General features: G+C 43.9%; 1 protein-coding gene across 1 annotated transcript in view, besides 1 other annotated feature; it reads right to left on the bottom strand.

Moving 5' to 3' along the window:
- Positions 1-15,917, bottom strand: part of TEAD1 (TEA domain transcription factor 1) — a 270,317-nt gene that overhangs the window by 228,299 nt on the left and 26,101 nt on the right. The window lies entirely within an intron of this gene.
- Positions 588-1,428: an enhancer, noted in NCBI's record as "H3K4me1 hESC enhancer chr11:12736558-12737398 (GRCh37/hg19 assembly coordinates)". NCBI's record gives its function as "activates a minimal SCP1, AML or CMV promoter by ChIP-STARR-seq in naive H9 embryonic stem cells {active_cell/tissue: H9 hESC(naive)}" and the evidence as "EXISTENCE:reporter gene assay evidence [ECO:0000049][PMID:30033119]".

The raw sequence follows: 15,917 nt of genomic DNA, 5'->3' as shown, positions 1-15,917 counted from the left end.
TTCAGGTCCAGGGATTCAGCAGCAATGACAGAGGTCCCTCAATGGAGGGGGGAGGGATGTCAGCAGAAAAAGGGTGCTCTCCAAGGGCTGCAGGAACCCCCCCGTGAACTCCTAGGAAGTCACACTCTCTGCTGCACTCCCTCGCAGACACCTACCTGTTCTAAGACAGATGAGGCTGGATTGGGGCACAGCGATTCTGCTTGTCCGGTGGTTCCAATGCAACAGAAAAGGAGGGCAGTGGAGAGAGTTGGCCGGAGTTTCCACCAGTGTTCAGACTGCTCCCCCTCCCATCCCTCGGCCGGAAGCCGACAGACAAAGAGCCCGCGCAGGACAGGAAGCCCATCCTAAGTCACCAGGCTATGACCTCTCTGTGAGGTCTGTTCATGCAAAGGGGGCAAATGACAGTCTCAGTCTTGGGGGGAAGGTGGGGAGGGTGAGCTAGGAAATGATTCCTTGGCCAAGATTTTTACTGTAAAAAAATGAATTACGATTGTTCTTGTTGGTCTTTCCCCCATCTTCCATCGCCACCTGTTAATCTGGGAACCCCTAGAGGTGAGATTGCTAGATTCGGGAAATAAAAATGGTATGCCCCCTTAAATGTGAATGTCAGAAAAATGACATTCAAATTAATTTATTAGTATAAATTTTTCCCAAATATTGCTTACCTGAAATTTGAATCATGGGACATACACTGATTATCTGATATTCAAATTTAACTGGGCATCTTTTTTTTAATCTGATAAGCCCATCTACAACCCAAATCATTCAGGAAGTGACTCCCTGATCCCAACCCCTTCTGGCAAAGCCCCTGCAAGGTAGGTCTCCATGCCAGTAGGCCTGTCTCCAGCAGCCCCGTCTGCATCACGTGCAGCTCCCCAGAGAGACAGCCAGCCTGCTGCGGCTTCCAGAAACAAGCTTCCCCAGGAGCAGAACACCTGGGCCCCCCACCCAGGTGAAACGAAGGCAACCAGCCCTTGGCTAAAGAAAACTGCCCACAGCCTCTCCTTGCCCAGCCATCACCCGAGACCCATACCCTCTCCTCCTCCCCAGTCCCCAGGCTTTATCTGTTTCTCAGATCCCTCAAGGAGTCCTGCTCAACTAGAAAGGATCTCCTGTCCCTGATGCCTGTTCTGCTGGTTACACTGGGTCACGAGGCTTTTCCATCCCTGGGTTTTGTCTCTGGTGAAGGAATGGTCTCAGGGCATGGAATTTACAGGAATAAGGAATTTGGAGGAGAGGAGGGTGCTAAAATCATACTAAGTTAGATGGGTCCCAAACAGAAACTGGAAGCGGTGACTGAAGACCACTAAACTCCCCGACCCCATGGTATGCTCCATAAGGGTAGAGATTTTTGTGTTTTATTCATAGCTACATTCCTAGAGGGCAGTGCCTGACACATACTGACACTTGGTAGAGAACTGCGGAATTGTTATGGGCTGAATTGTGTCTCCCCCTCAAAAAAATCGTATGTTGAACCCCTAATCCCAAGTACCTCAGGATGTGACAGCATTTGGAGACATGGCCTTTTAAAGAGGTGATTAACAAGGTGGGCCCTAACCGAGTGTGACTGGTGTCCTTACAAGAGGAGACTGGGACATAGAGACACTAGGGACACACACAGAGGAGAGACCACCCAAGGACACAGCAAGAAGACCATTACTGCAGGCCAACAAGAGGGGCCTCGGAAGAAATCAAACCTGCTGGCATCTTGATCTTGGACCTCCAGCCTCCAGAACCATGAGCAAATACACTTCTGTTGCTTAAATCCCCAGCCTATGGTGCTTTGTTACAGCAGCCCCAGGAAACTACTACTGGAATGAATGACTAAATAAATGAATGAAAGAGGGATGAGTCCATGCCTATTTGTCTTTCACTATATCTTCAGTGCCTAGGCCAGGACACAGTGGGCTCTCATTTAACAAAGCCAAAACAACATGGTGAAACCTTGTCTCTATAAAAACTACAAAAATTAGCCAGGTGTGGTCCACCACCGCACTCCAGCCTGGGCAACAGAATGAGACCCCGTCTCAAAAAAAAGAAAAGCCAAAAGAAGCATTTGCAGTCTCTCCCCAGAGCACTATACAGAGGATAAATGGCCCAGAGCTGCTGGGGACAAAGACAGGGTGCAGATCCTATCATCCCACTCTAAGACCTTTCCACTTCTCCTTGTGCCAGGAGACTCCCTGGGGCCACTGCTTGGGAGGCTTCTGCCCCTTAGCCAAAGAGCAGCCCTGGATGTGACTGCTTGGGAACCTTCTCCCAGCTACCGCCCTGATGAACTGCCTGGCAGCCTCCCGAGTTCCTGCCTGCCCAGATATTCTTGCCTACCCAAATACTCCACCCCACCTTTCTTGAAGGCAGAATCCTGATTCAATCTACACGTTCCCTCTTCCACTGGGATCCCTGACCTGTGTGTGGGAATTCCACTCCCTAGGCCCTATTTCATCTAGGAATGTGCAAGTTAGGCCATTCATCAAAGTGAGGCATGAGGGAAAAGTCTGAAGGCTGGCCAGTAATTGGAAAGCTTTCCTTACTGAGAGAAGTGAGGCCAGGAACAAATATATTGGGACATTAGTATGGAGATGTGATGCCGGGAGCTGCTGCAGCCATTTGCTGAACATGAGAGGAGAGAGCTGACACGCAAAGGACGGCGGAGTGGAAAAGGCGAACAACCAGGTCCTATGAGGTCACTGAGACGCTGCTCTAACTAACCCTAGCATCACTGTACCTCTGGACTTTTTGTCCTATGAGATATAAGATCGCTTTATTACACAGCCATTTTAATTGGGTTGTACCCTCCAGCTAGAATGCTGCCAGGATCTGCTTCTGGTTTTATCAGGCAAATTCTGTGGTTCCTGACTTTTTCAAGTTTGGGAACCCCTTCTAACACCAAAATGTTCTACAGGCCACCCATGTAATAGAAGTCCTACTTTTAATATCTAATGACTAAGAGCCAACAAACTAATACAATGTTTAGTAATGTTTTGAATAGATTTGCATTTTAGACATCTGAAAACACTCAGGCATAATTATAAACATGCAGCATATTAAATAAATCTAGAGACAATCCCCAATGTGGGCACGGGTTTGAGGAGCCTCACATTAAATGCACAGCCCCAGGACAGGCACAATGGCTCATGCCTATAATCCCAGCACTTTGGGAGGCTGAGGCAGGAAAACCACTTGAGTCCAAGTGTTTGAGACTATCCTGGGCAACATGACAAGACCTCATCTCTACAAAAAATAAAAATATTAGCCAGGCATGGTTGCACATGCCTGTAGTCCCAGCTACTTGGGAGGCTGAGGTTGGAGGATCACTTGAGCCCCTAAGGTCGAGGCTGCAGTAAGCCATGATCATCCCACTGCACTCCAGCCCAGGCAATGGAGAAAGACTATCTCAAAATAAATAAATAAACAAACAAACAAATGCACAGGCCCCACCGTGTTCACCTGAGAAGTACCTGGTCACCAACCCGAGAACCCTCCTACTAGACAGAAGGCTAAAGACCTTTCCAACTTAGCTTGGGTCTAAACTTGATGCCTCTTCTTTATCAATTCAGGCCCAAGTACTATTTAAGACTCACTTATCCCTAATGAAGTCTTCCCACAGGCTCCCCTCTCAATTGTCAATTCAAAATTGCCCCATAATGCTTGCATATCAATCCCAAAGATACTGGATTTGATTTATTCTCACCCAGATAAAAGTCTGGTCTCTCATTTTACTCCCTATTATTCTCACGTGATTGATATATTTCCCAAGGGCAGAAAGAATGGTAGTGATAGCAGCAATACTAACAGTAGTGATGGCGGTGGTGGTAATAACATTTAAGTACTTAATCTGTTCCAGCCAATGTGCCAAGCACTTCACATGCATTATTTAACTTAATCTGCAAAGCAACTTTTCAAATAAGTACACTATCATTTCCATTTTACCAACTGAGGGCAGCAACAGAGTTTAGGGAACATGCCTGAAGCCACACAGCAAGGTAAATTGCAGAGCTGGGATGGCGGTCATCATGCACCGACAGCAGCACACAGATAGCAGGTGAAGCTGTGTAGGTGCACATAAAATGTCAGTGGTTCTCACAGGAAGAGGCAATGCCAGCAAAGATTCCAGAGGCCATAGTCAGAGTGGTAGGAAGAAAACTGAGAGTCCCTTGGCAATTTATTTTTATATCCTGAGTACTAAGAACAGTGATTTGCTCCAATAAGAAGCTCAAATTATTGGATGGATGGATGGATGGACGGGCAGACGGACAGAGAAGAGGGAGATATTTGAGGACAAGGGTGACTCCATGAAGAAATACTTCAAAAAGACTGCCCCATAAGGTTGGGGACTGTTATGGAGAATGTCCCTCAAAAGATGCAAATTATCCAAGTGGGCCCAGAAATGGACACTCCCTGAGTGCCTAGGACTGGACTGAGGAGCTTTCATGAAGAAAGAGGTGCAGAGGACCTGGAGAAGAGGAGTAGAGAAGAGAGAGGCAGGCTCTGCACATTCAACCCTGAGAAATAAAAGATGAGATCAGGAAGCTTGATACAGCCTAACCAAGAGTCAGGGACCAGCAATCAGGACAGTGACTTTGTAAGAGGAGCAGAACCTCCTGAGGGACCCCACACTTGCTTCATTGCTACAGCTGTTAACTTGTTACCTTGCTATCTTTGCTACTTTGCCTTTATTACATCAGTCACCTTCCACGTTACCTTGCTTCTTTAGCAGTTTCCTTTTATTGATTCTCAGTAAAAAACCCCCAGAGGGTAAAGGGCCTGTTTACTAGTCTTATGGGACAAGAAAGGAGATGGGAAACTGCATCTCACTGCATTCCCAGATGTAGGGGAGGGAACATGAAAGGACTAACAATGTTGACAGCAATGAAGAGAGGACTTGGCCTTGTCTTCAGGCCTTCACCAGCCAGGGACCCCTGGGGAAAGGGTCTCTGAGGCTCCAGGGAGGTTTGCAGTATGCAAGATCTCAAACAACAGGGAGATGCTGAACTGCTAAAAGACCAGGGTTTGACCTCAGGACATCACTGGTGACTACTAAGAGAACATCTTAAAGTGGCATTAGACAAACCTGGATTTAAATGAACAAATATGAATTATGTCATTACTACCTCAATCTCTTCCAACTCCTGCTCTAGCCAGGATTTCTATGGCTTATAATCACCCAGTCCTGCACATTCTAATTTCTTCATTCCACCTCTCTTCCACGGCCTGATCACCTCTTCCCGAGCCGCTGCAGTGGCCTCCCCAGTGACTACCCTGACTCTCGTCTTTCTCTTTCAATCCAGTCTCAGAGTCAGAGGGAACTTCCTAAACCACCAGTCCAATCATATCTCTTCCCAATTTAAAGTCCAGCAGGCCAGCCAGTCACCAACAGATCAATCCAAGCTCCTAAACATGGTATTCACAGTACAGTCCTAAAAACACCATCCCCAACTTGCTGTAAACCCAAAATGGCGGGGGCCTCCCAGATATCCTATGTCTGTGCCTTTGTACCAGCTGGGCCCTCTGCCTGCAATGCCATCTCCATCTCTTCCATCCCCTTCCAGGAGACGCTAGCACTCACTCTCTCCTCCTCTACATACCATCATTCCTCCTCCTGAAGAGCTACTCTCCCTAACTCACGTGTCACAACAACCCACCTGCCATTATCCTCCTCTTCATCTTCACACCGGTCACGCTCTTCATGACATGTCTATTTCTCTCTCTTGCTGAACAGAAGCTCCATGAGAACAGGACCTTACCTGCTTGTTCACTGCTGTCCCAGTGCCTACAACAGTGTCATCCCAGTGCCTACAACAGTGTCTGGCCAGTGCTTGCTCTTGATTAAATAAATTATAATAAAGATGCTCCCTCTTTATTAAATAAATGAATTACCAGCACCACTCTATTCTCACTGTGTGTACTGTACCGCCCTCTATTTGCACTTATCACCCAGTTTAACCATCATTTACTGGTATAACTATACTCCTGACTTCACTGTGAACTCTGAATAACAGGAGCCACATCTTATTCATCCTTGTATCCCTGGCACACAGTAGATGCCCAATGATATCTGTCACATTATTTTCATAAAGAACACATATACAATTCGTGGGTTTTTTTTAATTTTGAGACAGGGTCCCACTCTGTCACCCAGGCTTTAGTGCAGTGGTGTGATCACGGCTCACTGCAGCCTTGACCTCTCAGGCTCAAGCAATTCTCCTGCCTCAGCCTCCCAAGAAGCTGAGACTACAGGTGTGAAGCATCACGCCTGGCTAATTTTATTTTTTGTAGAGACAAGGACTTGCTATGTTGCCCAGGCTGGTCTCAAACTCCTGGGCTCAAGTGACCCTCCTACCTCAGCCTTCCAAAGTGCTAGGATTACAGGTGTGAGCCATAGTGCCTGGCCTACAATTCCATTTTTTTTTTTTTAACAATTTGGTAAGACTTCATTATTTCTTTTCTCATTACTGTTTAGGTAAATAAGAAAAAGATGTTGTAGGACTTTTAAAAGGTAGAAGAGTCCCTTTTAAAAAATGAAATCAGAAAAGTTCCAGTAAGTCAAAGAACTAAAAGACGTAAAAAGGGGCCCATGCTGATCAGCTTTCTAAAAAGAAACTATCAGGGCTGGGCATGGTAACTCACAACTGCAATCCCAGCACTGTGTGAAACCAAGGCAGGAGGATTACTTGGGTTAACGACCAGGAGTTCAAGACCACCCCGGGCAACAGAGCAAGACCCTATCCCTACAAAACAAATAAAAATTAAAAAATCAGCCAGGCGCAGTGGCATGCACCTGTAGTTCTAGCTACTTGGGGGAGCTGAGGATAACTTGAGCCTATGAGTTCAAGGACACAGTGGGCTACGATCACACCATTGCACTCCAACCTGGAAGATAAAGCAAGACCCTCATCTCTAAAATAAATAAGTAGAAAAAGAAACTATCAGCTACTCAGGAAGTTGAGACAGGAGAATCATTTGAGCCCAGAAGTTCAAGTGTAACCTGAGCAACATAGCAAGACCACATCTTTAAAAAAAAATTAAAATTCAAAAAAAGAAACAAAACTATAAAAAGTAAACATCAAATTATTCTGGTTTTTTTTTTTTATTTTTTTTGAGAGAGAATCTTGCTCTATCATCCAGGCTGGAGTGCAGTGGTGCAATCTCAGCTCACTGCGACCTCCACCTCCTGGGTTCAAGCAATTCTCCCACCTCAGCCTCCCAAGTAGTTAGGACCACAGGTGCACACCATCAAGCCCAACCAATTTTTGTATTTTTAGTAGAGACAGGGTTTCACCATGTTGGTCAGGCTCATCTTAAACAACTGACCTCAAGATATCCACCCCACTTGGCCTCCCAAAGTGCTGGGATTACAGGCATGAGCTACCGCACCCAGCCCAAATTACTATGGTTTTACCTTTATAAACAGTTCAAACAATACAGAGAAGTAGGAAGTAGAAAATGAGGGTCTTTACATAATCACTATTAGCATTTGATGATCGCTATTAGCATTTGATATTCTTCCTCCCAAAATTAATGCATATAAACCTTTACATAATATGCACTCAATACACACATATATATTGAAAATAGGATCACACTATTCATGCTGATCTGTGACTTTTGTACATAATTTCTTTACCATCATTCCATAATAGTACATAGAAGTTGACTTCATCTTCTTCAGCAGCTTTATAATATTCCACTGTATGGTTTTACTGGAATTTATGTAACTTTTCCTTTTTTAATAAAGCCCCAGGTGATGGCAACACTAAACATTATGGTGCGGAGGAACACCCTTTTGTGTATACTTGTACAATGCTTTCCTTAGGATAAATTCTGTGAAGTGAAAATGTCCAGTCACAGAGTATGCACATTTGACACTTTAATCCCCACTGCCAAAATGCCCTCCAGAAAAGCTATACAGTTTAGACTCCTGCCAATCACATATGAAATTTGCCCCCGAGCCCCATCCCAATTAAGGCTGTTTTTGATCAATGGAGTTAATTCCTGCAGCAGGATAAAGTCTCTGACCCAGAAAACTTTCCTTGGCACTAATCCATACTCACCTCACCGACTGTGTCTCTTCACGAGTGACAGGCATTGTTACATTCTTGCCCACAGTTTGAAAGCCTTACCAGGCACTGCACTGCAGGCATACACAATTGCACAGACCTCAAGCAAAGATGGCTATTCCACAAAGAGGTCCTTAGCCCTAGCACCTGGATATCAAGCAAGGCACTCACAGGCAGCATCTCCCAGCAGTATATAGAGAGAAGCTACAGGCTCAACAAGACCCAATTCTTCCACCGAGACACCTGTGAGTGAGCAGCTGCTGGAATTGAGATTTATATCCCCACTCATCATTCTTGTCCTGTAAGGGACTTTGGGAACTGCCAAAGCAGAACCAGCACCAACAGCACAGATCTCAACAACAGAAAAGAAAGTTCTATGAAATAAAAACCACTGCCACCAGTCAATGTAGCATGAGATTTCATGCTGCAGTCTCTGCAGAGAAAAAATTGTTATTCATTCATATACTTTAGTCCGAATACTAATCAGCACTTCAAGCATCACAACTTTTCATTTAATTTTTAGTATTTCTAACAATCTTCCTGTTTCCTTAAACAGAGTTGACTAGACACAAGTATGATGCTTTGTAAACATCACAATCATACTGTGCCCAGTGTCCTACTGTGCCAGACAATAGTACTGACCTTCCAAAAAAAGAAAGGCAATTAGGGCTAAAGAGCCCAGTTCAATATACCTTTTAAATGTGCCAACTATAGTGTTTATCTTTTCCTGTGTTATCAGCTATCACCCTCTCTCTCTCTAGCAGACACCCTCTTCCCTACTTTCTAGCAGTTTATGCTACAAGAAGCAGAAATTAAAAGGTTAGAATTGCAAAGGCATGAAGAATAAATAGGCAGAGCCTTGAGAGAATCACCTAGGAATGATGTCACTAAGTTTCAGAAGGTGGCCTGAGAGTGAGGTAGTTAAGCTCTGGTGCACAGACTTTGTGAAAACTAATTCAAGTGCCACCATTAAACGTGAATATGTGCCTTAAAATGGCTTGCAGATAGCTCTATCATGTCCTTGGGTGGGGAGATCTTGTTTTTGACACATAGAGGCAGGCAGCTGGCTGAATGCCAAAGCAAACAGCATGAGGAGGAGTGGAAGGGTGATCCCAGGTCTCGGGTCTAGTGTTTTTAAAAGAAGACATCAACTGCGTTCCTCTATAGAAAGTGAGATAAACACCAGCCGCACAAGTATAGCACCACAAGTAAACAAGTCTTCTGCTGGCATCATGCTTCTGAAAAAAAAAAAAAAAAAAAAAAAGTCCCACAAGTGCTATTTCTTTCCCTTAAGCCTTCCGAAAAATCTCCAACTGGCCATCAATTTGGAGAGAGTTTTACAAACTGGAACTCTTCTCCTAGGCACAGCAACTGAGACATACGAGGGTAAAACAGCATGGTGAAAAGAGTGCTAGTCAAGGTCAGGAGATGCCCTTGGGCCTATCACATGCCCTTTCTCAGCTTGGTTTTCTCTTCAGTGTAAAATGGGGATAACACCTGCTCTTGCCTGGAAGAAGAGGCCCATTATGGAGATGGTGAGAGGATATGACTATCACCCCCACTGCCCAAGCTGACTCTCCCACTCAAGCTTGGAACGCTCATGAACCGTAGAAGGACATGTGCATCAGGGCTAGCCCATCTGGCCCGGCCACACCAGAGGATCTTGAAAGTCCTAGAAGGAGCCAGGTAAGAAAAGAGCTCAGTGACAAGTTTCCAATTCAACCACAGCAGGTTGCACCTGGGAGCTCCACTGTTAGCTAGAAATATCAAGGGCAATGTCTTTAAACAACTTTAGCAGCAGAAATCACCCTCTGTCAGAGGAAACCTTATATATAACCACAATATACAAAACAGATAATTTATCTGAATTATGTAAATTACAGTATGTTCTCAAGAACATAGTTTAAATCACAAACGAAGTATGTTTCTCTTTCATTCTGCATACACAATATTCAAAAAATTCTGATTCACAGATAAGTAGTTGCAAATGGTACCTATTTAACCTTTCACTTGCAGCTTCAGGAATCCATTGAATTAAACTAACCCAGAAACCTGAAGAAGTGCAACAGGAAACTTCTCTTTTAATGTAGAATATTTCTTATCAGGAAATACTTGACTTGAAGGGAATGGAAGAGGGGTTTCTTCAACCAGTTCAAAAACACTGTTAAAATGTATCTTATAATTCAATGTTCAGTGAGGTCAGCTCTAAAAATCCCCAGATACTTGGTGCCAGGCTCTGGAACATATTTACGCAATATTTCAAACGAGTCAAATTTATTTTGTTTTGCATATCAAGTTCAAACTAAGTTTCAATTTCATCATTGATACTCTAACAGCCCTTGTAAGCATGGTAAGAAAACAGCCTGTATTGCTTAATGGAACTCCCTCTATTTATACTTTAAAATTGAGCAAGACACACAAACGAGGGTAATCACACTATATTTGAAAGGTTTAGAACAATGGAGTTTCTTTGTCAGACAATTAAGAACCCAACAGTAATTTATCACCTCATTTGAAATATTTGTAGTTCAACTTTTCCTTGAGTGGTCAGCAAAATGTGATGTGAACTAAGAATTATTATCCACATTACAAATAACTCATAAAAGTAAAAAGACAACATGGTAATATAATGTACACTTTGAATATTACATGTATAGCACCGAACTAAAAGGCCATCTACAATAAAGCAAAGTTTGTATATGCAACACACAACTTTTATTAATAGCTTGTACACAAACCATCATTCCTGCAATCTTACCTGCCATTGTGTTCACAATGTAAGATAAAATTTTCTTCACTTATCTATGTGTCAAGTGTTGGAAGGAATTGGTTTTACTCATGTTTGCCTGGCATAAACTCACACAAATGCAAGCAGAATGGTGACAGGTGCCACACCCACACTCCTATCAAGGTGGATGGTAAGAGCAAATGGGATCCAGATTTGGGACTTTCATTCTCCGGGTGAAGCATCCCAGGCCCCTTTCTGCACTGCATCACTCTACAATGACACCGACTATTTTCACGCAGGTTTTGAGGTGAGAACTTGCATGCTACAAGTGTATTTTCCTTTAGGCTGAAACTTGGTGGCAAAATTCTAGGATTCTGAAGAACAAGATAAAAGCTTGTGGTCTGGAAAAATGGGAGATGGTACCAAAGACCTGTTGGTTCCCTAAAACAGAAATCACAAGAAAGAGGATATGCGAATTCCCTGAGTGCTTCTGTCAGCTTAGCTCCTGCCTCATCCCTCCTTCCAGCCAAGCAACAAGTTCAGCTTTAAGAGTAGTATGGCTGTCAAGCCCATTCCATTCTTCTTTCCTTCCCAGAGGATGGAGTCTCTTTCCATTCAATCATCCACTCACTCATTCATTAATCCAGTCATTCCAGAGATAGCCATTGAATGTCTACTTTGCAAAGCACAGAGTTGGGCATACACACGGTGTATGTTTTCATTAGCATAAATTTCACTGTATTTTATTTTTGACAGTGTAGCAATACCCTTCCAGCTAATCTGAAGATGCCAAAAATGAATAAGCAATACCAGAACCAAGACCCAGTTCTATGAATAAAACAGCACAGCACCTGGTAAATGTTAGCTATTATCATCCCATCCCAATCCTTTGACTTGTGCAAGCACACTTTGAGAGCTTCTGCATGCCAAGCAGGATACAAAGATAAAATCCAGTTCCTGCCCTCAAGAGGCTCAGAGAGAGACAATAGGGTAAATCCAACACGCAGACGACAACGTGATTAATGCCAACACAGAGCAGCAGTATGGAGGACTAAGGGAATAAAAGGAAGGCTTGGTTTTCTTATGCTGTTGGAGCTGGGAAGGCTTCTGTAAAATGATGTACATTCCTCTCTTCAGAAAGAAGCAAGAGCTGGACAATAGTTGGGGAACGTCAGGAGTGGCACGCCAGGCAGATGCCGGTGGAAGCAAAGGCACAGAGGCAAAAAGGCTGCTGCAAGTGGCTGAGACAGAAGAACATGGTTGACTGGCCAGGAGGCTGGAAGAGAGAACCAAGACTTTCTCAGCTGTACAGTTACTATGACTGGGGTGAACTGGCCTCAGACACTTCAACTCTGTCTAACTTCTCAGAAGGAAAACAGTGGCCCCTCCGGCAAATTTCACATACCAAACTGAACGGCTAAGATGCATTCTTCCTGTGCTTGGCAGAAGGCTTGTCTAATACATTCGTCATCTTCCTCTAGCCTAGGTATATGGAGGGGAGCTCCCAACACAAACCAAACACAACGCCAACTCAGCCATAAAAAGAAAATAAACATAACCATAAAAAGAAATAAATATATGTATCTCTGACTTGGTAGGAGTCTAGTTCTTCTAACATAACTTTTTCCATGTTCTAAAATCCATGCTGTTTTTTAAAAGCACATCCAGGGCCATTCTGCTTCTAGGGAATTTAGGGTTTTAGCCAATTTGCTTAGAAAATGGTTGTGCAAATTTACACTACCCCATGAGCCTGTGTTTTATAAAAAGAGGTGAGGGGGATCTCCAACTATAGCAGGGAAGAATTTTAATAAAAAGCAGAACTCAAGAGCACAGGCAATAGATGGCTGCTCCTGCAGGTCAATTCATGCTGGGCACCACTCACCAAGCTTTCCAAGGGATGCAATAACTGAATTCCAGTGGCCCCAAATTCACTCATTCCAATGGATATATCCTGAGGGTCTATTATAAACAAAGCACTGAGAATATAAAGATGTGCAAGTCACAGCCTGTATCCCGCAAGGGCTCAGAGTTTAGGAGGAAGAAGAACAACAACGAAGGATGATGGTGAAAGTGGCTGTAAGACACTTATGGGCTAAAGAAAGCAAAGATCCCTCCAGGTAAAGGAGGGAGGAACTCCAAGACAACTTCCTAAAGGAGGTGCTTTAAGAAAATATAGGGAGGCTTGGGCAGGCAAAACAAATGGAAAAGGTCATCCCCATTTCTGAGCACTTGCTATGTGTCACTCATATCTCACAACCAACCAGTGTTATGATAATATCTCCACGTACCGAGCAGGGGAGTCCAGCTAGGGGAGGTGGATTGACTCATCCTATGTTACATGTATTGTCAGTGGCAGAGCCAAAAACCAAAGCCCCCATCCTCTGCTAAGGGAAGCTTTTTTGGGAGAGAGAATGTTATGAGTAGGGCAGCACATTTAGGAAGTGACAAAGATTCCATCTGTGGGATGCTATGCTCCACTGATACTGAGACCACACTGTGGGAGGTCTCAAGCACCAGGCTAAGGGGAATGCGCTCATTGGTTGGGTGATGAAGCAGGTAGGGAGGAGGCTTTGAGAATGGGAGCCCCAGGATAAGATGTAGTGGCTCAGAACAAGTAACCTGGAGCCGGCAGGCCTGGGCTTGAATCCCAGCTGTGGCTCCTAAGAACTGTGCAGTTTTGGACAAGGTACTTAACTTCTCTGTGCCTCCAGTTCCTCATTAAATGAGGCTGATATTACTACCTCCTTCACAGAATTATTGTGAAAATTAAATGAATCACAAAGCAATAAGAACAGTGCCAGTTCACAAGAATGGCTATGTAAGTGCATTATCGGATAATGATGGTGATGATGATGCAGCAAATTAATTAACCTGCTGAGACACAATGGCATTGGAAGATTACCTGAGAGGCTGCCAGAGTAATCCGGGCGAGAGAAGGACGGAAGTAGCTTCCAGGGAATGGGAAGGAAGTAACTGATTTGGGAGAACATGGAAGGGAAAGGGAAATGTTTCACGGAAGCCTGCAGCCTGAAGAAAGGCAGTGCTGCTGGAGGAGCCGCTCAGCCACAAAAGCACTCAGTGAAGACAGAAATGCACACCCAGGTGCATTTCTCTGAGCCTCAATTCTTCTATCTCTAAAATGGGGCTAACGATTCTTATCCTTCTACTCTCGGCATTGTCCTGAGGCTCAAATAAGACCATGAACTTGGCTACGGTACATTTAAGACATAAAGCATTCTACAGATGGAAGTCATGAAGCTATAAAGAGGGAGTGGTGTCGAGGGACTGGTCTGGACAGTGAGCCAGAGAGACAAACTCCACTTAACGTTGTCCACGATGTTCTCAGATAGTAACACGCAGGGTCAATTTCCAACATTCTTACCCTGCACCGCTGTGGCCTGATACCAGCCTAGGACCACTGACACCTGAGCCTGCCATGGCACCAAGGGTTGAATGCAGAGAGGATCTGGTTCAAGGGGCGGCCCCTGAGTGCTGAGAGGGAAACTGACCATTTCTGGGCACACCATGGATAAAGGGAGTACACAGAAAAGTAACATCAGTTGGCTCTATCTCCTTCAGCTCTCCATTTACACAGTCTGTGAGCAGATCAAAGGGCCCTGGAGCCAGCCAGAGAGGGCTGGGGATGAGACAAGCAGCCTGCGAGTGCTGTGGCAGGCAGCTCTGCATCAGTTTGCCTTCGGCTATAACCAAATGACATTTCCTGCATAATCCTGCCACTCTTTGGATAGAATTTCTTATAGAAAGTCATCTTTTTTATGCCCAGTGTAGTCCAGGAGATCATAATGACCAGCAGCTTCTATTCCCTATATAATTTTTATTTATTTTAGCTTCAAAAGGAACTCAGGACTCCCAGCTCTAAGTCTCTTAAAGTCTCTTATCTGGTGAGCCCCACACCTCCCGTACATCACTCACCATTTTAGACTGGAATGGTCCCCTTAACACAACTCCCTTTTCCCACTAGCCTGCAGTTTTTCTTCTCTGAATCCCCACCACCCAACACAGACACTCGCAAACAATGAACTGAAATTTCATAGCATCTTTTGGAAACTAAAGACAGTGAAAACCCACCGGCATGACCCTTCCGATTACTCAACTTTCCCCTTCACTCAGGTAAGACTTCAAGATAACAGCATCTCCTTTAATTAAGCCTACCCTGCTTGGTTTTCCAAAACTCCAATTTCCAAGATCAAAAGAAAGGCAAAATTTAGGCTTGACGTCTAAGTTTTTGTTTTGTTGTTTGCTACAGGTTCTGGAAAAGTAAAAGCCCTAATCACCCCCAACATATAGTGACTAAAATTTAAGACACTCCAGAATAGTGCCTTTTCCCTTCAACCAACTTTTTTGGCTGACTTTCAATAGTTTTAAAGCTGATAACCAGAGGAAGCCTTTATTTAAAGAAAGAAAAAAAAAATCTAAGTAAACAGTTCCCAGTGTTCTCTAAGAAATTAGACTCTAAGAACACAATCTGTCCACACAAGGATAAATGCAGTTTTATTAAAGAAAACACAACGGTCTTACAAACACTCTCCAAATATTGTACACTGTACACATGAAGAATCAAACACAAAATTCAAAGGGGTCCCAGAGGGGGTCTGCTATGGCTTTGCTCAAAATCTAAACTCTAAAGCATGACTGTGCTAGAGCAGAGGAGACTCTGTGCTTTGTCTTTCCCAAAATAATCTCTCTCACCGACCATCACAGCGAGCTAAGGGGAGGACCACAAAATCTGCAGTGGAGCGACTGTGATCGTTCTCAAAACAATTTTTATTGAAGAAGCAGTCGACTGAACTACTTATAATCTACAAAATCAAGTCACTTGGCACCAGATGCATTAAAGGCCTCAAATATTAGGGGAGTTTCATTTTACACCAAATATAAAACTGAAATAAATTAGGAAGCAAAAGCAACAGTATTATAAATAACTGACCAACTCCATTCAAATATCCCACACTTCTCATACCACGGTGAGGGAAAATAAATGAGAGTTAAGAAGCATAATTTCTAGAAATCCTCCTATCATAGAAAAAAAAGTTTCTAAGATCAATGTGGCTTTTAAAAGGGTAGCAGAAACTAAAATATACGCAAAACTCGTTTCCACTGCACCCCAC

The sequence above is a fragment of the Homo sapiens genome, chromosome 11, assembly GCF_000001405.40.
Source record: "Homo sapiens chromosome 11, GRCh38.p14 Primary Assembly".
In the NCBI taxonomy this organism is placed as follows: domain Eukaryota; kingdom Metazoa; phylum Chordata; class Mammalia; order Primates; family Hominidae; genus Homo; species Homo sapiens.
This window is presented reverse-complemented; position numbering and strand designations above follow the sequence as displayed.